Raw genomic sequence first — 16,604 nt, 5'->3', positions numbered from 1 at the left:
ATGCATTATTTTAATCTTTGCTACAAATCTATTTTTGAATTCTCATTGCACAACTTTACCTTGTTTAATGGCCTTTATTAATTTTCCTCCATTCTTTTTGTTTTCCTTTTAATTGCACTTATTTTAATGCTGAATTTACTCCCGTGCCATAAGTTTTTGTTTCTTCAGTTTCTTCTGGGATATCTTTTTCTTCTGGGCAACCTCCTCTTCTGGTTTAGGAACAATCTGTTCCTTTTCAGTAAGGATCATCTCAGTGTGGCAGAGAGAGCTCACGTATGGGTTAATCCGACCATAAGCCCTGTAGGTCCAGTGGCATATCTTCGGTGCTTTGTTCACTTGGATATGCTCAATGACCAGAGAATCTACATCTAAACCCTTAAGTTCACCATTACTCTCTGCATTTTTTAGCATGTGCAGCAAAAATTTAGCACTCTTTTTGGGCCACCGACCTTGTGTCCAACCCCACTGTTTGCCAACTTCATTACTGTAACATTAGAATGGTACGCACTGTTTCTGTAAAGTGACATCTTTCAGAGACTTCGTGGCTTTTCGTATATGCACACTCTTGATGGCCTGGGCAGTTTCACAAGTGTTTTTTGAGTGGAACACGAGGAACTCTTGGATCACAACTATGAATCGCATACCTTAAAGTGAACACGAATATTGGAACCTCTTGATTTGCGTGATTTTGTGGGGTTCTCGAGGTCAAGTGAATAGTGAACCTTTTTCACAGATTACCTTGGGCCGCTGAGGGAAAGAGGCTCCATTCTTTTTTGTGTGGAATATCTTCCTTTAAAAAGCCTTTTGCTGTCCACTCCCTGCCCACAAGAGATTTTCTGCTTTTGGCTTCAATTCACATTTTGATAATATTGTAAGGACTCTTGCATCTTTATAGAGATTTTTTTTTTTTTCCGAGACGGAGTCTCACTGTGTTGCCAAGGCTGGAGTGCAATGGCACGATCTTGGCTCACTGCAACCTCCGCCTCACAGGTTCAAGCAATTCTCCTGCCTTAGCCTTCCGAATAGCTGGGATTACAGGCACCTGCCACCATGCCCGGCTAATTTTTATATTTTTAGTAGAGATGGGGTTTCACCATGTTAGCCAGGCTGGTCTAGAACTCCTGACCTCAGGTGATCCGCCTGCCTTGGCCTCCCAAAGTGCTGGGATTACAGGCATAAGACTCCTTGCCGGCCTGGAGATTTTTTTTTTTAAACATGTTTAATCTACTGTTCAGTCCATTGACATCTTCCTTTTCTGAAGAAAAGTGTTCCTTTTTTTTCCTTTTGTAGAGATGGGGTTTTGCCATGTTGCTCAAGCTAGTCTTGAACTGCTGGGCTCAAGCAATCCACCCACCTCCGCCTCCTAAAGTGCTGGGATTACAAGTCTGAGCCACCGTGTCCTGCTGAAAATGTTCCTAAGAATAAAATCGTATTGATTACAGGTTCCCCCAAACACTTCAATAAATTCTGGGCCAGGACTTAGGCCCCCATATCCCACAGAACCATTAACCAATCCTGGGGTTCTTTAAAGGAAAGAGAGGTACAATCCACACCTTTTTTTGTGGGGAAAGGTGGCTCCTCTAAGCCCTGTTTTGAGGTTCTGATGTTTCTTGTCATCATGAGCAAAAAGGCAGCCTCTCTGCACCTGTACAAACTATTTTTAGATGCTCCTATTCTAAAACCTAGTTCTTCATTCTCTGTGGTTTTGGTTCTTCTCTGCAGGGAATGACCTTCATTTATTTCTGTTCCTATGCTCCCAATTCAGTTTATTTGATGAATGTTTCCAAAGGTTCAATGGGTTTCAGTCTAAATTTGTCCCGGAGGCTCTAGAGATGTCCAGCTGGACAGTGGGCCCCACTGAGGACATCTGTCCCTGAGCTGGAGGCACGGCTTCCCATGGAGGCACCGCTACGCGGCATCCACACTTCCCACAGCACATCGGCTTCCCGAGGCCGCCACCCAACCCTGGTTACCTAGACCCAAACAGACCTGGGCGCGAGGCAGGGAGGCCGCAGGAGAGTTAGAAGGGCGAGAAGCCTGGAATGCAGTCAGAGGCTGGGCCTGGGAGACCTAGGCAGGGGTGCAGCCCCAGCCCTGGGCTGACATGCAGACAAGGCCTGGGACTTAGGGGACCCAAGACAGGTGAGCGTGGCCTCCTCACCGGAGTCAGGGTTCCGGGTTACCTAGAGGGGAGGCCGGGCAGGAGCAGCAGGAGCAGCAGGAGCAGCAGGAGCAGCAGCAGGAGCAGCAGGAGCAGCAGCAGGAGCAGCAGAGACTCTCTCTGCCCAGACTCTGGCCAGGGTGGGGGCCCTGGAACTCTGGCTTTATCCCTGGCCGGCGCCTCCCGGCCAATCCCAGCTGAGGCTGCCTGTGTGTCACAATGGGGCGCCTGTGGCGTCACGCTGGCCCGCCCCACCCCGTGTGCTCGTCTGGAACCGCCCGTCCTACTTGCTGCCCCATCGCGAGAGTCCTTCCTCTCCAGTTCGGTCCACCACCTGCCCCCATGCTCGATCCTCTGTGGAACCAGGAGCTGTCCCACACCTTATAGAGGCATACCTGGGATGACGGACAATGACTTGCCCGGGATCACTTTGCCAATTGGAAAGGAGGAAAAGTCCCACACCCGTGGCGCTGTCTCCGGAGGGTGCTGCGTCCAAGAGGCCCACCCGCAGGGATGAGCCTGAGTGCGCGAATCCAAGCACGAGAAGGGAGCTGGGAATCTCCCGGTGGCTGGGGACCCCTGCTCCTTCTAGAGCCTCTGCCTCTAGGTCTTTAATAAAGTATATACAATGTGAGTATCAAATGCCTTTAAAAGCAGATTTTCTTAAAAAAAAAAGTAGCTATATGTTATCATGAGATGTGATTCATATACCATACAAAAATAGCTAACGTTATATTGAGATAGAACTCACATGCCATAAAATTCAGTGGCTTTTAATATAGTCACAGTTATGCAGCCATCACCAAAATCAATTGCAGAATATTTTTATCATCCCAAAAAGAAATCTTAACCGTCACCTCCCAATTCCCATGAATTAGTCAGAATTATCCAGATAAAGGAAACCAATAACACATATATGCATTTGAATTGGCTCTTGCAAGTCCTAAGATCTCCAGGGTCAGTCAGCAAGCTGGAGACCAGGAAGAACTGATGGTTTTGTTCTAGTCTAAGTCCAAAGGCCTGAAAGCTAGGAGAGCCACTGGTGTAATTTCCATCTGAAGGCCAGTGGGCTCAAGACCCAGGAAGAAGCAATGTTACTCAAGGGAGGGTGGGGTTTTTTGTTCTAATCAGGCCCACCCACATTTGCAGTTGGCTTTACTCAGTCTACTGATTTAAATGCTAATCTCATCCAAAAACACCCTCACAGACACACCTGGAATAATGTTTGACCAAATATCTGGGCTCTCTGTTCCCCAGTCAGGGTGACAAATAAAATTAACCAACGCATCTGCCAGTTTCTACAGCCAAAGGCAACCACTAGTCTACTTTCTATCTTTATGGAATTGCCTGTTTTGAGTATTCCATGTAAATAGAATCATACAGTACATGGCCTCTCGGCTCACTGCAACCTTCGCCTCCCAGGTTCAAGCGATTCTGCCTCAGCCTTCCAAGTAGCTGGGATTACAGGCATGTGCCACCACGCCCAGCTAATTTTGTATTTTTAGTAGAGACAGGGTTTCACCATGTTGGTCAGGCTGGTCACAAACTCCTGACCTCAGGTGATCCACCGCCTCAGCCTCCCAAAGTGCTGGGATTACAGGTGTGAGCCACCACGCCTGGCCACATTTTATTTTCCATTCATCAGTTGGTGAATATTTGGGTTCTACTTTTTGGCTTTTTTTTTTTTTTTGAAAGAGTCTCGCTCTGTCACCCAGGCTACAGTGCAGTGGCACGATCTCAGCTCACTGCAACCTCTGCCTCCTGGTTCAAGCAATTCTGGTGCCTTAGCCTCCCGAGTAGCTGGGAGGCGCCCACCACCATGCCTGGCTAATTTTTGTATTTTTAGTGGAGACAGAGTTTCGCCAGGTTGGCCAGGCTGGTTTCAAACTCCTGACCTCAAGTGATCCCCCACCTCGGCCTCCCAAAGTGCTGGGATTACAGGCGTGAGCCACCGCGCCTGACCTTTGCTTTGTTTTTTTTTTTTTTTTTTTTTTTTTTTTGAGACTGAGTCTTGCTCTTTTGCCAGGCTGGAGTGCAGTGGCACGATCTCCACTCACTGCAAGCTCTGCCTCCCGGGTTCAAGTAATTCTCCTGCGTCAGCCTCCCGAGTAGCTGGGACTACTGGCGTGCACTACTACACCCAGCTAATTTTTGTGTTTTTAGTAGAGATGCGGTTTCACCACATTAGCCAGGATGGTCTCGATCTCCTGACCTCGTGATCTGCCCACTTCGGCCTCCCAAAGTGCTGGGATTACAGGCGTGAGCCACTGCGCCCAGCTATGCAGGAGCTTTTCGAAGTCTTTATTTCTCCATGTTTCTCTTTCCCCAGCCTCTTCCCTCCTAGGTGCTCTGGTGTGTCTGCTTCTGGCCCCATCTGTTTTCCCTTGCTCCAGGTGGCTACAGCTGGCATATGCCTTTAAATCCTTTCGACAAACACTGCTGGGAAGGTGGTTCCAATGCTGAAAGTTCTGAGGGCGATGAAACAAAGGCAAGCCTCTGAGTCAGTCCCTCTGGTTGCTGCCAGACTGGTCGAAAAATACAACCACAGCTTTTTGAGAACAAGGACCTTATTGGCCTCTCTGGCACAAGCAAGCTGCCCAAGGAATGTGGGCCACCATCTCCATAGCTGCTTTCTGAACTGGGGATTGAGAGGTGATTGGGGGTTACATTGAAATGCCACAATATCTCTTACCAAAATTTAGCTGCTTCTTTCTTCATTAACCAGACCCTCAGTGGTTGTTTTTTATTATCCCAAAATTCAGGAAAAGTAAATTCTGACATTTTTTTTGCCAGTTTAATTGTTGCTTTAGTGGAGGGATGGGTTTTGGAGTTCTCTAGTCCACCATTTTCAGTGACATCATTTCTTTAACATTCTTAAAAGCCCTCCTAGTCACACCCATACATCATTTTGAGGTATCAGTGAAGGGTCTTATAGCTTATAATGGACCGAAATTTATTAGCTCACCGTTCTGGAGGGCTCCAGGTTCTGGCAAGGGCCTACTTGCTGTGTCGTCCCATAGTGGAAGGGCAAAGAAAGAGTGAGAAACAGAGAGAGAGTGAGTGCAAGAGGGAGCTGAACTGGTCCTTTTATAAGGAACCCGCTCCCACAGTAATGAATCTTTTCCTCTAAGAATGGCATTAATCCATTCATGAGGGCGGAGCCCCCGTGACCCAAACACCTCCCATTAGGCCCTGCCTCCCAACATTGCTGCATTGGGGATCAGGTTTCTAACACATGAACTTTGAGTGTTGGACACATTCAAACCATACCATCAGGTTTTAAACTATCATTTTATAGACCTAATATATTTTCTTGAGTGCTATGTTCACTGACAATCAGAATTCTTCCCTACTTGTCTCTTTTTTCATTGAGGGTGGGAGGACTAAGTAATAAAAACACCTCCCTTCCTCTATTCAAGTCCCTATTTCCTGCCACTATTTCTGATACTATTCTGGTTTTCCAACAGTGGATCCTGCGGGTGGAAGGATAATGTTTTTCTTATAAGGACACCAGTTATATTGGGTTAAGGCCCACCGATATAATGGCCCTTGTTCCAAATACAGTCACATTCTGAGGTGCTGGGGATTAGGACGTCAATATATGAATTGAGAGGCGGGGGACACAATTCAGCCCGTAACATACAGGAAGAGGGTTTTGTGCTGCTGGATACCACTGTTGAGGCTGGAACGCAGATCCATCTACTGTAACTCATGTGCTTCTTTACTTTTTCATTGCCTTTTCAGCATCTGAAATTCTACTTTGAATCATTCATTCCTTTTTGTTTGGTTCTTATCTCTTGTATAAAGGGATCCCCTATGAGCTGAGCACTCTTCTGTAAGAGTTAGCTTAAACTGGCCAGGTGTGGTGGCTCACGCCTGTAATCCCAGCACTTTGGGAGGCTGAGGCAGGTGGATCACCTGAGGTCAGGAGTTCAAGACCAGCCTCAACATGGAGAAACCCCGTCTCTACTAAAAATACAAAATTAGCCAGGCGTGGTGGTACGTGCCTGTAATCCCAGCTACTCAGGAGGCTGAGGCAGGAGAATCGCTTGAACCTGGGAGGTGGAGGTTGTGGTGAGCCGAGATTGCACCATTGCACTCCAGCCTGGGCAACAAGAGAGAAACTCTGTCTCAAAAAAAAAAAAAAAGAGTATAGCTTAAACAACAAAAATATTCTGCCCACATGGATAATTACTAAGTGTGACCTCAGCCACTGTGGGGATAACAGGAAACTCACTTTACACCATGTCCTAGCATCGGCCTGTGACGTAAGCCTAATTATGGCTGGGTCCTCAAGGACACTGCCTCGACAGAACACGCTAACGTGAAATTTGCATGCTGAAACCTTTACATATTCAAACCTTCCAACTAGCTCTGTGTTTCCATTCTTCGATATGAGAAGAAAACCAAGGACTATGACACATCCCAAGGAAGTGTCCATAAAAGAAGGAGATCAGCAACCTTTGCTGGGTCTCAGAAAGGTAACCCACGCCAAACTCTGTGAGGAAGATGGAGTGGCAGAGAAGGTTGCACATGTGTGGCGGGGAGTGGGATGGAGGAAAGAGCAAAATACAGCATCCTATTTTGAAATATGGAGCTATGAGACCGGGCGCAGTGGCTCACGCCTGTAATCCTAGCACTTTGGGAGGCCAAGACGGGCGGATCACGAGGTCAGGAGATCGAGACCATCCTGGCCAACATGGTGAAACCCCGTCTCTACTAAAAATACAAAAAATTAGCTGGGTGTGGTGGCGGGCGCCTGTAGTCCCATCTACTCCTGCCTGTAATCCCTGATACTTGGGGGGCTGAGGCAGGAGAATGGCATCAACCCGGGAGGCGGAGCTTGCAGTGAGCCGAGATCGCACTACTGCACTCTAGCCTGGGCGACAGAGCAAGACTCTGTCTCAAAAAAAAAAAGAAAGAAAGAAATATGGAGCTATGTACCAAAAGAATCTGCAAGGAAGGCCGGGTGTGGTGGCTCACACCCGTAATCCTAGCACTTTGGGAAGCCGAGGCGGGTGGATCACGAGATCAGGAGTTTGAGACCAGCCTGACCAACATGGTGTAGTGGTGCAATATTGGCTCACTGCAGCTTCCACCTCCTGAGTTCAAGCAATTCTCCTGCCTCAGCCCCCCAAGTATCAGGGACTACAGGCAGGCATCACCACCCCCAGCTAATTTTTGTATTTTTAGTAGAGACGGGGTTTCACCATGTTTGTCAGGCTGTTCTCTAACTCCTGACTTTAGGTGATCCACCCACCTTGGCCTTCCAAAGTGCTGGGATTACAGGCATGAGCCACCACGCCCGGCCGACATTTTTTTCTTTATAAATTATCCAGTCTCAGGTGTTCATTTATAGCAACACAGGCCAAGACAGCCCCTATTCAGAAATGTTTCCCATTGTTCTTCCCCAGCTTCATTTGAATCTCAGGGGAGTGGAAGTGCAGACATGGGTGCAGACAAAACACACACAGAGAGGGAAAAGCATCAAGAGTTTGGGAGATGGAAGACGATTCAGTGCTGTTCTTGCCAGTGACTTTCCCGTGTGGCAGGGCGTTCAGCTCCCTGCTCTGCTTTCGTCTTTTGTCATACTTATTTGGTGGCTTCGATCCATCCATTCTAAGATTTGTTCTCCCTGTGCCATTTGCTGTCCAGTCATCATTTGTGCTGCTCGCCTGGCGGGATTTTTCTCCGTCTCTTACTCTGGTGGAGTATTTAGCCAGACCCTGTTCCATGTTGAGCCGTGGGGGGTTCAGGAGGGGAGCATTTGGGCTAAGAGCCTGCAGCACACCAAGAGCTGTGGGGCTTTCCCTTCAAGCATCCGGAAAGGAAGTGCTGGGATTAGGCTGGAGCCCATCAGGCCCAGAGGCCAGAGACAGGAGGGGAGGCATCATTGCCCAGTGTATCAGTCACACCTGCTGTCCCCAACCCTCACCCAGCAGGGGTTTGGTGCTGCTCACTCTTGTTAACACCCACATTAGTAGCCTGTGCCTGTGCCACGGATTCCTGCTGGCAGGGGGAGGGGCAGGCAAGGCTGTCCCACGGCATGGCTGAGCAGAGCCCAGAGCAGAACAGAACTCTCTCTCTCTCTCTTTCTCTCTCTCTCTCTCTCTCTTTCTCTCTCTCTCTTTCTCTCTCTCTCTCTCTCTATATATATATTTTTTGAGATGGAGTCTCGCTCTGTCGCCCAGGCTGGAGTGCAGTGGCGCGATCTCTGCTCACTGCAAGCTCCGCCACCCGGGTTCACGCCATTCTCCTGCCTCAGCCTCCCGAGTAGCTGGGACTACAGGCGCCCGCCACCACGCCCGGCTAATTTTTTTGTGTTTTTAGTAGAGATGGGGTTTCACCTTGTTAGCCAGGATGGTCTCGATCTCCTGACATTGTGATCCGCCCACGTCGGCCTCCCAAAGTGCTGGGATTACAGGCATGAGCCACTGCGCCCGGCCAGAACTCTATATTTGTTTTTTAGAGATGTGGTCTTGCTATCTATATCGTCCAGGCTGGAATGCAGTGGCTACTCACAGGCATGATCACAGATCGCAGCTCACTGAAGCCTTGAACTCCTGGGCTCAAGTGATCCTCCTGCCTCAGCCTCCTGAGTAGCTGGGACTACAGCACTTACCACCATGCCTGGCTCTAATATAATAAATGTTGGCGGCAGCTCTGACAAGTGCTGGAGCGGCTCCTAGCCCCACCCTCCCAGAACACAAGGGCGACTCTGTGGCCTTTTCCTTGCTCTAAGCCTCAGCCTTCGGTCTACCTGACCACCATGCCTGCTCCCAGAAGCCATGTTCTAAGCTCTCCTCTGGCGAGGTGCCTCCCAGGCTCAAGCAGCTTCCAAGTCCCCATTGACTCTGGTCCAAGTCTCAAACACATCCATAGCCCTGGGTTTGCTGGCTGGGGTTTCATGGCACTGCCTGGCCTCTCCCTCCCAGTCTGGCTTCCCTTTTCCTGCGGCCCACCACTCTCCCTGCATCTGTCACACTCGTCTCCATACACCCCTGCTGAGACCCCTTCTCTCCTGGCCCACCAGTCAGAATGGAAGTTCTACTGTCCTCCAACTTTTGAATTCCAACCTGGCCTTTACTCAAGCCCACGCCGGGGAGCTTTTCCTGACTAGGAACTCCTTGAGCCTAGCCTTATACCGAGAATTCCCTGCGACCTCCACAGACTAAGTGCTGATGTAATATGAAAGTTGTGCAGTTGTCATCCCACGGACTGTTTGTAGCTCATTGCAGGACCAGGCCCTGCTCAGCCCGAGGAGCAGTGTTGAATGGTGGGAAAATGGGTCAAGGTTTAGGACTCTGGTTTGGCTCCTCCCACTACCTACCATGTGTTCTTGGACAAATCTCTTCTTCTCTCTTGGTCGTGGTTTCTGCATCTGTAAAGTCGGGGCAGAGAGAACTGATTGAATCAGGTGTTCTTGTCAGCCTGTACGTTATAAGTACTTGGGGAGTTTCAAAAAACAAGATAAAACTGAATATCCCAACTACAACTCCAGACCATTAAAATCATTTCATAATTTTATGAGGGTAGAGCCAGACATAGTTTAAAAAATATTCCCGGCCAAGCGCAGTGGCTCACGCCTGTAATCCTAGCACTTTGGGAGGCAGAGGCAGGTGGATTACCTGAGGTCAGGAGTTCAAGACCAGCCTGGCCAACATGGTGAAACCCCATCTCTAGTAAAAATACAAAAAATTAGCCGGGCATGGTGGCAGGCGCCTGTAGTCCCAGCTCCTCGGGAGGCTGAGACACGAGAATCGCTTGAACTGGGGAGGCGGAGGTTGAAGTGAGCCGAGATTGTGCCACTGCACCCCAGCCTGGACAACAGAGTGAGACTCCATCAAAAAAAAAAAAAAAGAAAGAAAAAGAAAAAATGTTCCCAGGTGATTCCAGTATGCAGCTAGCTTTGTGAACTATGAGAATAGTCTCCAGACCCTTCCAGCTTTCCCGGTCTCCAGATTAACATCTTTGCTGGAGGAGGCCGAGTGACCTAGAGGGCCCTACTTATTCTGAACTCTTGCCGACTGAGCCCTATGTAGATACCAAAACCCCTGCAGCACTTCCGGTAGCAATAGAAGGAGCAGGTTAAAAGCAACAACAGGAACAATGATGAGAGTGATGATGACAGCTGGTTTTTCCAGCTTCTCATGGGTCTCACTTTTCCTCCACTCCCTCTAAAGGGGACACTGCAATTGACCATCCAGATCCCCTTTGGAAAAGAAACATTTCTTGGCCACACTGCTGGGAATGCTGTTGGCAGACAGCCTTCAGCCGTCAGGCCTCTCCAAACGTGCCTCCACCCAACCACACTCTCATTTCCTTCAGCAACACACGTCCAGGATGGGGATAAACATACGGGGTTGGCTGAGGCCTTCGCTGAATGCAGCCAGTTTCTGCCTCTTCCTGATCCTGCTTCGTTCTCTTCTCTTCTGCAGGTGGCGATCACAGGGCACGCCCTAAGAAACCTGCACACTAACCTCCCTCTCAGACACTGCTTCTGGAGAGCCCAACCTGTGACCGCTGGGTCAGGAGGGGTCTGAGGAAGAAGATGCTAAGATGGGATTCTGGCTCTGGATCACCCACTGCCTAGCTGCTGATAAGGATCCTTTTGCTGGGGGTAGATGGAGCGGGTACATGCCCCCGCACAGAGCAGAGGTACTATTGTTCAAACTGTCACTGCTGGCAGATGCAGAGGTGGAAGGGAATGTACCAGCAAATGATGAATGTGGGGGAGTCAGTCATTGTCAGGAGAGTGGGACTGGAGTGGCTGCAGCTAAGCAGAGCCTGATTAATCAACAATTTAAAGCTAAATGAGAAAGTAACAGGGTTTCCTTGGGAGCATGTAAAGTGGCTGAAGGATGGAGAAAGCTGAGGCCCAGGCCCAGGCCCAGGTCTTAATTGCGAGTAACTGCGCCCAAAGAGGGGGAACTCCGGTGGGGCACGGTGGCCAAGCACTTTGGGAGGCCGAGGTGGGAGGATCACCTGAGGTGGAGAGTTCGAGACCAGCCTGACCAACATGGAGAAACACCATCTCCACTAAAAATACAAAAAAATTAGCTGGGCGTGGTGGCGCATGCCTGTAATCCCAGCTACATGGGAGGCTGAGGCAGGAGTATCGCTTGAACCTGGAGGCGGAGGTTGCAATGGGCTGAGATCACGCCATTGTACTCCAGCCTGGGCAAAAAGAGCAAAACTCTGTCTCAAAAAAAAATAAAAATAAAAATAAAAAAGATAAGAAGAGGAACTCCCCATCTGAACAGGCCTGCCACACCAAGGTCATGAGCTGGTTGGAAAACAATGAGGACTATGAAACATGGATGGGGCTAGATGCACCCTCAAATCCTGAATCACCAGATTTTCCCAAATCCTCCAAGTCTGCCGAACTGGCTCCCCCCTCCCTATTTAGGAAGCATTCTTCTCTCGCTTGTAGGCAGTGCAGAGGCCACTCCCCTGCAAAACCACATCACCCCCCTCAGCTCTTCCTCCACCTCACAATCTGGCCAGTAGGCCACTAACGAGGGTTAAGTCACAGTGTGTCCCAGCTGGGTATGTGCTAGTCTGAAAAGGGAGGGATGATCCTTTGCTCCAAAGAAGCTACAGGACCTAGTCTCCATGGACCAGCAGGGATGGGGAGAGTCCTCATGGGGCTGGATCTGAGGGCCTGAGTCAAGGGCAGGGAGAAACAAATTTGGAAGATGAGAACTTCCTCAATTTGGAAGCACTCCCCCGGGATATAAGATTTGTCATCCTGAAACGGACTCCAGAAGTTGGTACAAACATGTAACTTTGGCTGGGCGCGGTGGCTCACACCTGTAATCCCAGCACTTTGGGAGGCTGAGGCGGGCGGATCACGAGATCAAGAGATCGAGACCATCCTGGCCAACATGGTGAAACCCTGTCTCTACTAAAAATACAAAAATTAGCTGGGCTTAGTGGTGCACACCTGTAGTCCCAGCTACTTTGGAGGCTGAGGCAAAAGAATCGCTTGAACCTGGAAGGCAGAGGTTGCAGTAAGCCAAGATCACGCCACTGCACTCCAGCCTGGCGACAGAGCAAGACTCTGTCTCAAAAAAAACAAAACTAAACAAACCATGTAACTATATTGGCACCTAGAAGCATGGTAAAAGGAATTACCCAAACTAAGTGAAGTTAAAAAGGCCTGCATTGCCAGAGACAGTGGGAGAAGGGATGAGAAGTTTCAGTGACATGGGCATGCTCAGATGGATGATGCTGTGTAAGGCTGGTAAACCCACCAGGTGAGGTCACACCACAGAGGCCCCAGAAGATTCACCACTTACCAAAGCAGCCAGGCATGTGCTGGGGAGGAATCCCAGCACCACAGGAATGTTGGAGTACCTCTCTTCAGAGGGCCGGGGCAGAGGTAGGAGATGCCTGTGCAATGGCAATGAGCAGGCCCCAAAACCCTTGAGACCAGCTGGTAGCATAAAACCACGTGAGTGCAAGCATATCAGTAAATGGAAGAGCAGAGTGACAGCCAAGGGGTCATCGTATAATGATAAAAGGCCAATTCAGTAGGCATATATAATAATTATAAATATATAAGCTCAATATCAGAGTACTTCAATATATAATACAAGTTTTGACAGATCTAAAGGGAGTAATTAACAGTAATACAATAATAGGAGGGGACTTCAATACCCCACATACATTAGTGCATAGGGCATCCATACAGAAAACCTATAAAAAGCTGGCTCAGGCCGTGCGCGGTGGCACACACCTGTAATCCCAGCACTTTGGGAGGCCGAAGCAGGCGGATCACCTGAGGTCGGGAGTTCGAGACCAGCCTTACCAACATGGAGAAGCCCTGTCTCTACTAAAAATACAAAGTTAGCTGGGCGTGGTGGCGCTTGCCTGTAATCCCAGCTACTCAGGAGGCTGAGGCAGGAGAATCACTTGTACCCGGGAGGCGGAGGTTGCAGTGAGCCGAGATTCCGCCACTGCAATCCAGCCTGGGCAATGATTGAAACTCTGCCTCCAAAAAAAAAAAAAAAAAAAAAAGCTGGCTCTAACAACACTATAGATCATAGATCAGTACCTAACAGACGCACGCAGAGCTCTCCACTTAACTGCAGAATACAATTCTTCTCAAGCATACATGGAACACTTTCCAGAATAGATCACATGTCAGATCACAAAACAAGTCTTAACACATTTAAGAAGGTTGAAATCATTACAAGCATCTTTTCTGACCACAATGAAATGAAACTAGAAATCAATAACAGCAAGAAAATGGGAAAAGTCACAAATACATGGAGATTAAGCAACATACCCTTGAATAATCACCAAGTCAAATAAATCAAAAGGGAATTTAAAAATATTGTTGAAGGCCAGGCGCAGTGGCTCACGCCTGTAATCCCTGCACTTTGGGAGGCCGAGGCAAACAGATCACTTGAGGTCAGGAGTTTGAGACCAGCCTGATTAACATAGTGAAACCCTGTCTCTACTAAAAATACAAAAATTAGCTGAGCATGGTGGCACATGCCTGTAGTCCCAGTTACTCAGGAGGCTGAGGCAGGAGAATTACTTGAACCCAGGAGGCGGGGTTGCAGTGAGCTGAGATGGCACCACTGCACTCCAGCCTGGGTGACAGAGATTCCATCTAAAAATAAATAAAAATTTAAAAATATGTTGCTGATGAAAAACCCAAACTCTGTAAAATATTTGAAGAAATTTATTCTGAGCCAAATGTGGGGACCATGACCCATGATACAGCCCCAGGAGGCCCTGAGAACATGTACCCAAGTTGGTTAGGTTACAGCTTGGTTTTATGCATTTTAGGGGGACAGAATTTATAGACAGACACCAATCAGTACTTGTAAGGTATACATCGGTTTGGTCTAGAAAGGCAGGACAACTCAAAATGGGGCACTTCCAGGTCATAGGTGGATTAAAATGTTTTCTGATTGGCAATTGGTTGAAAGAGTTATTATCCAAAGACCTGGAATCAATAGAAAGGAGACTCCAGGTTAAGATAGGTCCTGGAGACTGGCTGGTCGTGGTGGCTCACGCCTATAATCCCAGCACTTTGGGAGGCCGAGGTGGATCACCTGAGGTCAGGAGTTTGAGACAAGCCTGACCAATTAGGTGAAAGCCCATCTCTACTAAAAAGACAAAAATTAGCCCAGCATGGTGGTATGTGCCTGTAGTCCCAGCTACTTGGGAGGCTGAGACAGGAGAATTGCTTGAACCCAGGAGGTGGAGGTTGCAGCAGTGAGCTGAGATCAAGCCACTGCATTCCAGCCTGGGTAACAGAGTGAGACGCCATCTCAAAAAAAAAAAAAAAGAAAAAAAAGAGGTCCTGGAGACCAAGGTTCTTATTATGTAGATGAAGTCTCATAGGTGGCTACCTGTAGAGGCAATAGATGGTAAATGTTTCCTATTCAGACCTTTAAAAGGTGCTAGACCCTCAGCTAATTTCTTCAGGATCAGAAAAAGACCTGGAAAAGGAAGGGGATTCTTTACAGAATGAGAAATTTCCCCACAAGAGACAGCATTGCAGGGCCATTTCAAAATATGGCAAAGAAATATATTTTGAAGTAAAATATTTTAATTTCTTTCAGGGCCTGCTATCTGTCATGTGATGCTATACTAGGGTCAGGTTAGAATTTGGTGTCAAAGTTTTATTGCTGCAAAGACTGTTTTGTCAGTCTTAAGATCTCTGTTTTAATGTTAATGCTGGGAGTTGTGCCTGAATTCCAAAGGGAGGAGGTCATAATGAGGCATGTCCAACCCTCTTCCATAATGGCCTGAACTAGTTTCTCAAGTTTAGTTTGGAATCCCCTTGGCTGAGAGGAGGGATCCATTCAGTCAGTTGTGGGGCTTAGAATTTTATTTTTGGTTTACAGTATCTCAAGACACATAAAAAAACGTAACACAACATACTAAGAGGAAAGTTTGTGGTGATAAATGCCTATATGAAAAAAAGAAGAAAGGTCTTAAATAAGCAATTAATGTAACACCTAAAGGAACTAGAAAAAGAACAAACTAAAATCAAAGTTAGCAGAAATAATAATAAAGGTTAGAACATAAATAAGTCAAATAGAGAATAGTGTTAAAGGACCAAATTGGAGTCTGCTTGCCTGGCACAGTGAGGTCAAACATCTGTACTGAGGTTTGCATAGGGAGAAAGGAGGGAGGGCATTTATTTGCAGGGTGCCAAATAAGGAGAATCCGGCAGCTCATGCTTAAGACCCGACCTCCCTGATGGCTTGCATGCAAGAGTTGGGTTTTTTTTTTTTTTTTTTTTTGAGACAGAGTCTCGCCCTGTCACCCAGGCTGGAGTGCAATGGTGTGACCTCGGCTCACTGCAACCTCTGCCTCTCAGGTTCAAGCGATTCTCCTGCCCCAGCCTCCCAAGTAGCCGGGATTACAGGCGGGCGCCACCGTGCCCAGCTAATTTTTTGTATCTTTAGTAGAGAAGGGGTTTCACCATGTTGGCCAGGCTGTTCTCAAACTCCTGACCTCAGATGATCCACCCACCTTGGCCTCCCAAAGTGCTGGGATTACAGGCGTGCACCACCATGCCCAGCTAATTTTTGTATTTTTAGTAGAGATGGAGTTTGTCATCTCATGCTGAGAAGATTAACGACACATACACATGAGTGGGTTAAGGAGAGGAAAGTTTATTTATTTTTTCTTTTATTGTATTTCTTTTATTTTTTTGAGACAGAGTTTCACTCTTGTCACTCAGGTTGGAGTGCAATGGCATGATCTCGGCTCACTGCAACCTCCACCTCCCAGGTTCAAGAGATTCTTCTGCCTCAGCCTCCCGAGTAGCTGGGATTACAGGCATGCGCCACTACACTCGACTAATTTTGTATTTATTTATGTATGTATGTATGTATTTATTTATTTATTTTAGTAGAGATGAGGTTTCTCCATGTTGGTCAGGCTGGTCTCGAACTCCTGAATTCAGGTGATCCGCCTGCCTTGGCCTCCCAAAGTTCTGGGATTATAGGCATGAGCCACTGCGCCCAGCCTATTTTTTTTTTTTTTTTTTTTAGACACAGTCTTGCTCAGTTGCCCAGGCTGGAGTGCAGTGGCGCAATCTCGGCTCACTGCAAGCTCCGCCTCCCGGGCTCACGCCATTCTCCTGCCTCAGCCTCCTGAGTAGCTGGGATTACAGGCGCCTACCACCACACCTGGCTAATTTTTTTTTTTGGTATTTTTAGTAGAGACGGGGTTTCACCATGTTAGCCAGGATGGTCTCAATCTCCTGACCTCGTGATCCACCCACCTCGGCCTCCCAAAGTGCTGAGATTACAGGCATGAGCCACTGTGCCCGGCCGCCCAGCCTATTTTTTATTTTTATTTATTTATTTTTTTGAGATGAAGTTTCACTCTTGTAGCCTAGATGACACGATCTTGGCTCATTGCAACCTTTGCCTCCTGGGTTCAAGCGATTCTCCTGCTCCAGCCT

At 48.0% G+C, this 16,604-nt stretch overlaps 1 pseudogene, besides 3 other annotated features; it reads right to left on the bottom strand.

Moving 5' to 3' along the window:
* RPL17P43 (ribosomal protein L17 pseudogene 43) lies at positions 98 to 745 on the bottom strand (annotated as a pseudogene).
* Positions 4,520 to 5,037: an enhancer, noted in NCBI's record as "H3K27ac hESC enhancer chr17:19395941-19396458 (GRCh37/hg19 assembly coordinates)". NCBI's record gives its function as "activates a minimal SCP1, AML or CMV promoter by ChIP-STARR-seq in naive H9 embryonic stem cells {active_cell/tissue: H9 hESC(naive)}" and the evidence as "EXISTENCE:reporter gene assay evidence [ECO:0000049][PMID:30033119]".
* Positions 14,406 to 15,319: an enhancer, noted in NCBI's record as "OCT4-NANOG-H3K27ac hESC enhancer chr17:19385659-19386572 (GRCh37/hg19 assembly coordinates)". NCBI's record gives its function as "activates a minimal SCP1, AML or CMV promoter by ChIP-STARR-seq in naive H9 embryonic stem cells {active_cell/tissue: H9 hESC(naive)}" and the evidence as "EXISTENCE:reporter gene assay evidence [ECO:0000049][PMID:30033119]".
* Positions 15,320 to 16,235: an enhancer, noted in NCBI's record as "H3K27ac hESC enhancer chr17:19384743-19385658 (GRCh37/hg19 assembly coordinates)". NCBI's record gives its function as "activates a minimal SCP1, AML or CMV promoter by ChIP-STARR-seq in naive H9 embryonic stem cells {active_cell/tissue: H9 hESC(naive)}" and the evidence as "EXISTENCE:reporter gene assay evidence [ECO:0000049][PMID:30033119]".

Source organism: Homo sapiens, chromosome 17, assembly GCF_000001405.40.
Source record: "Homo sapiens chromosome 17, GRCh38.p14 Primary Assembly".
NCBI lineage: Eukaryota > Metazoa > Chordata > Mammalia > Primates > Hominidae > Homo > Homo sapiens.
Note: the sequence above shows the minus strand (reverse complement) of the source record. Positions and strands in the feature narration are given on the sequence as shown.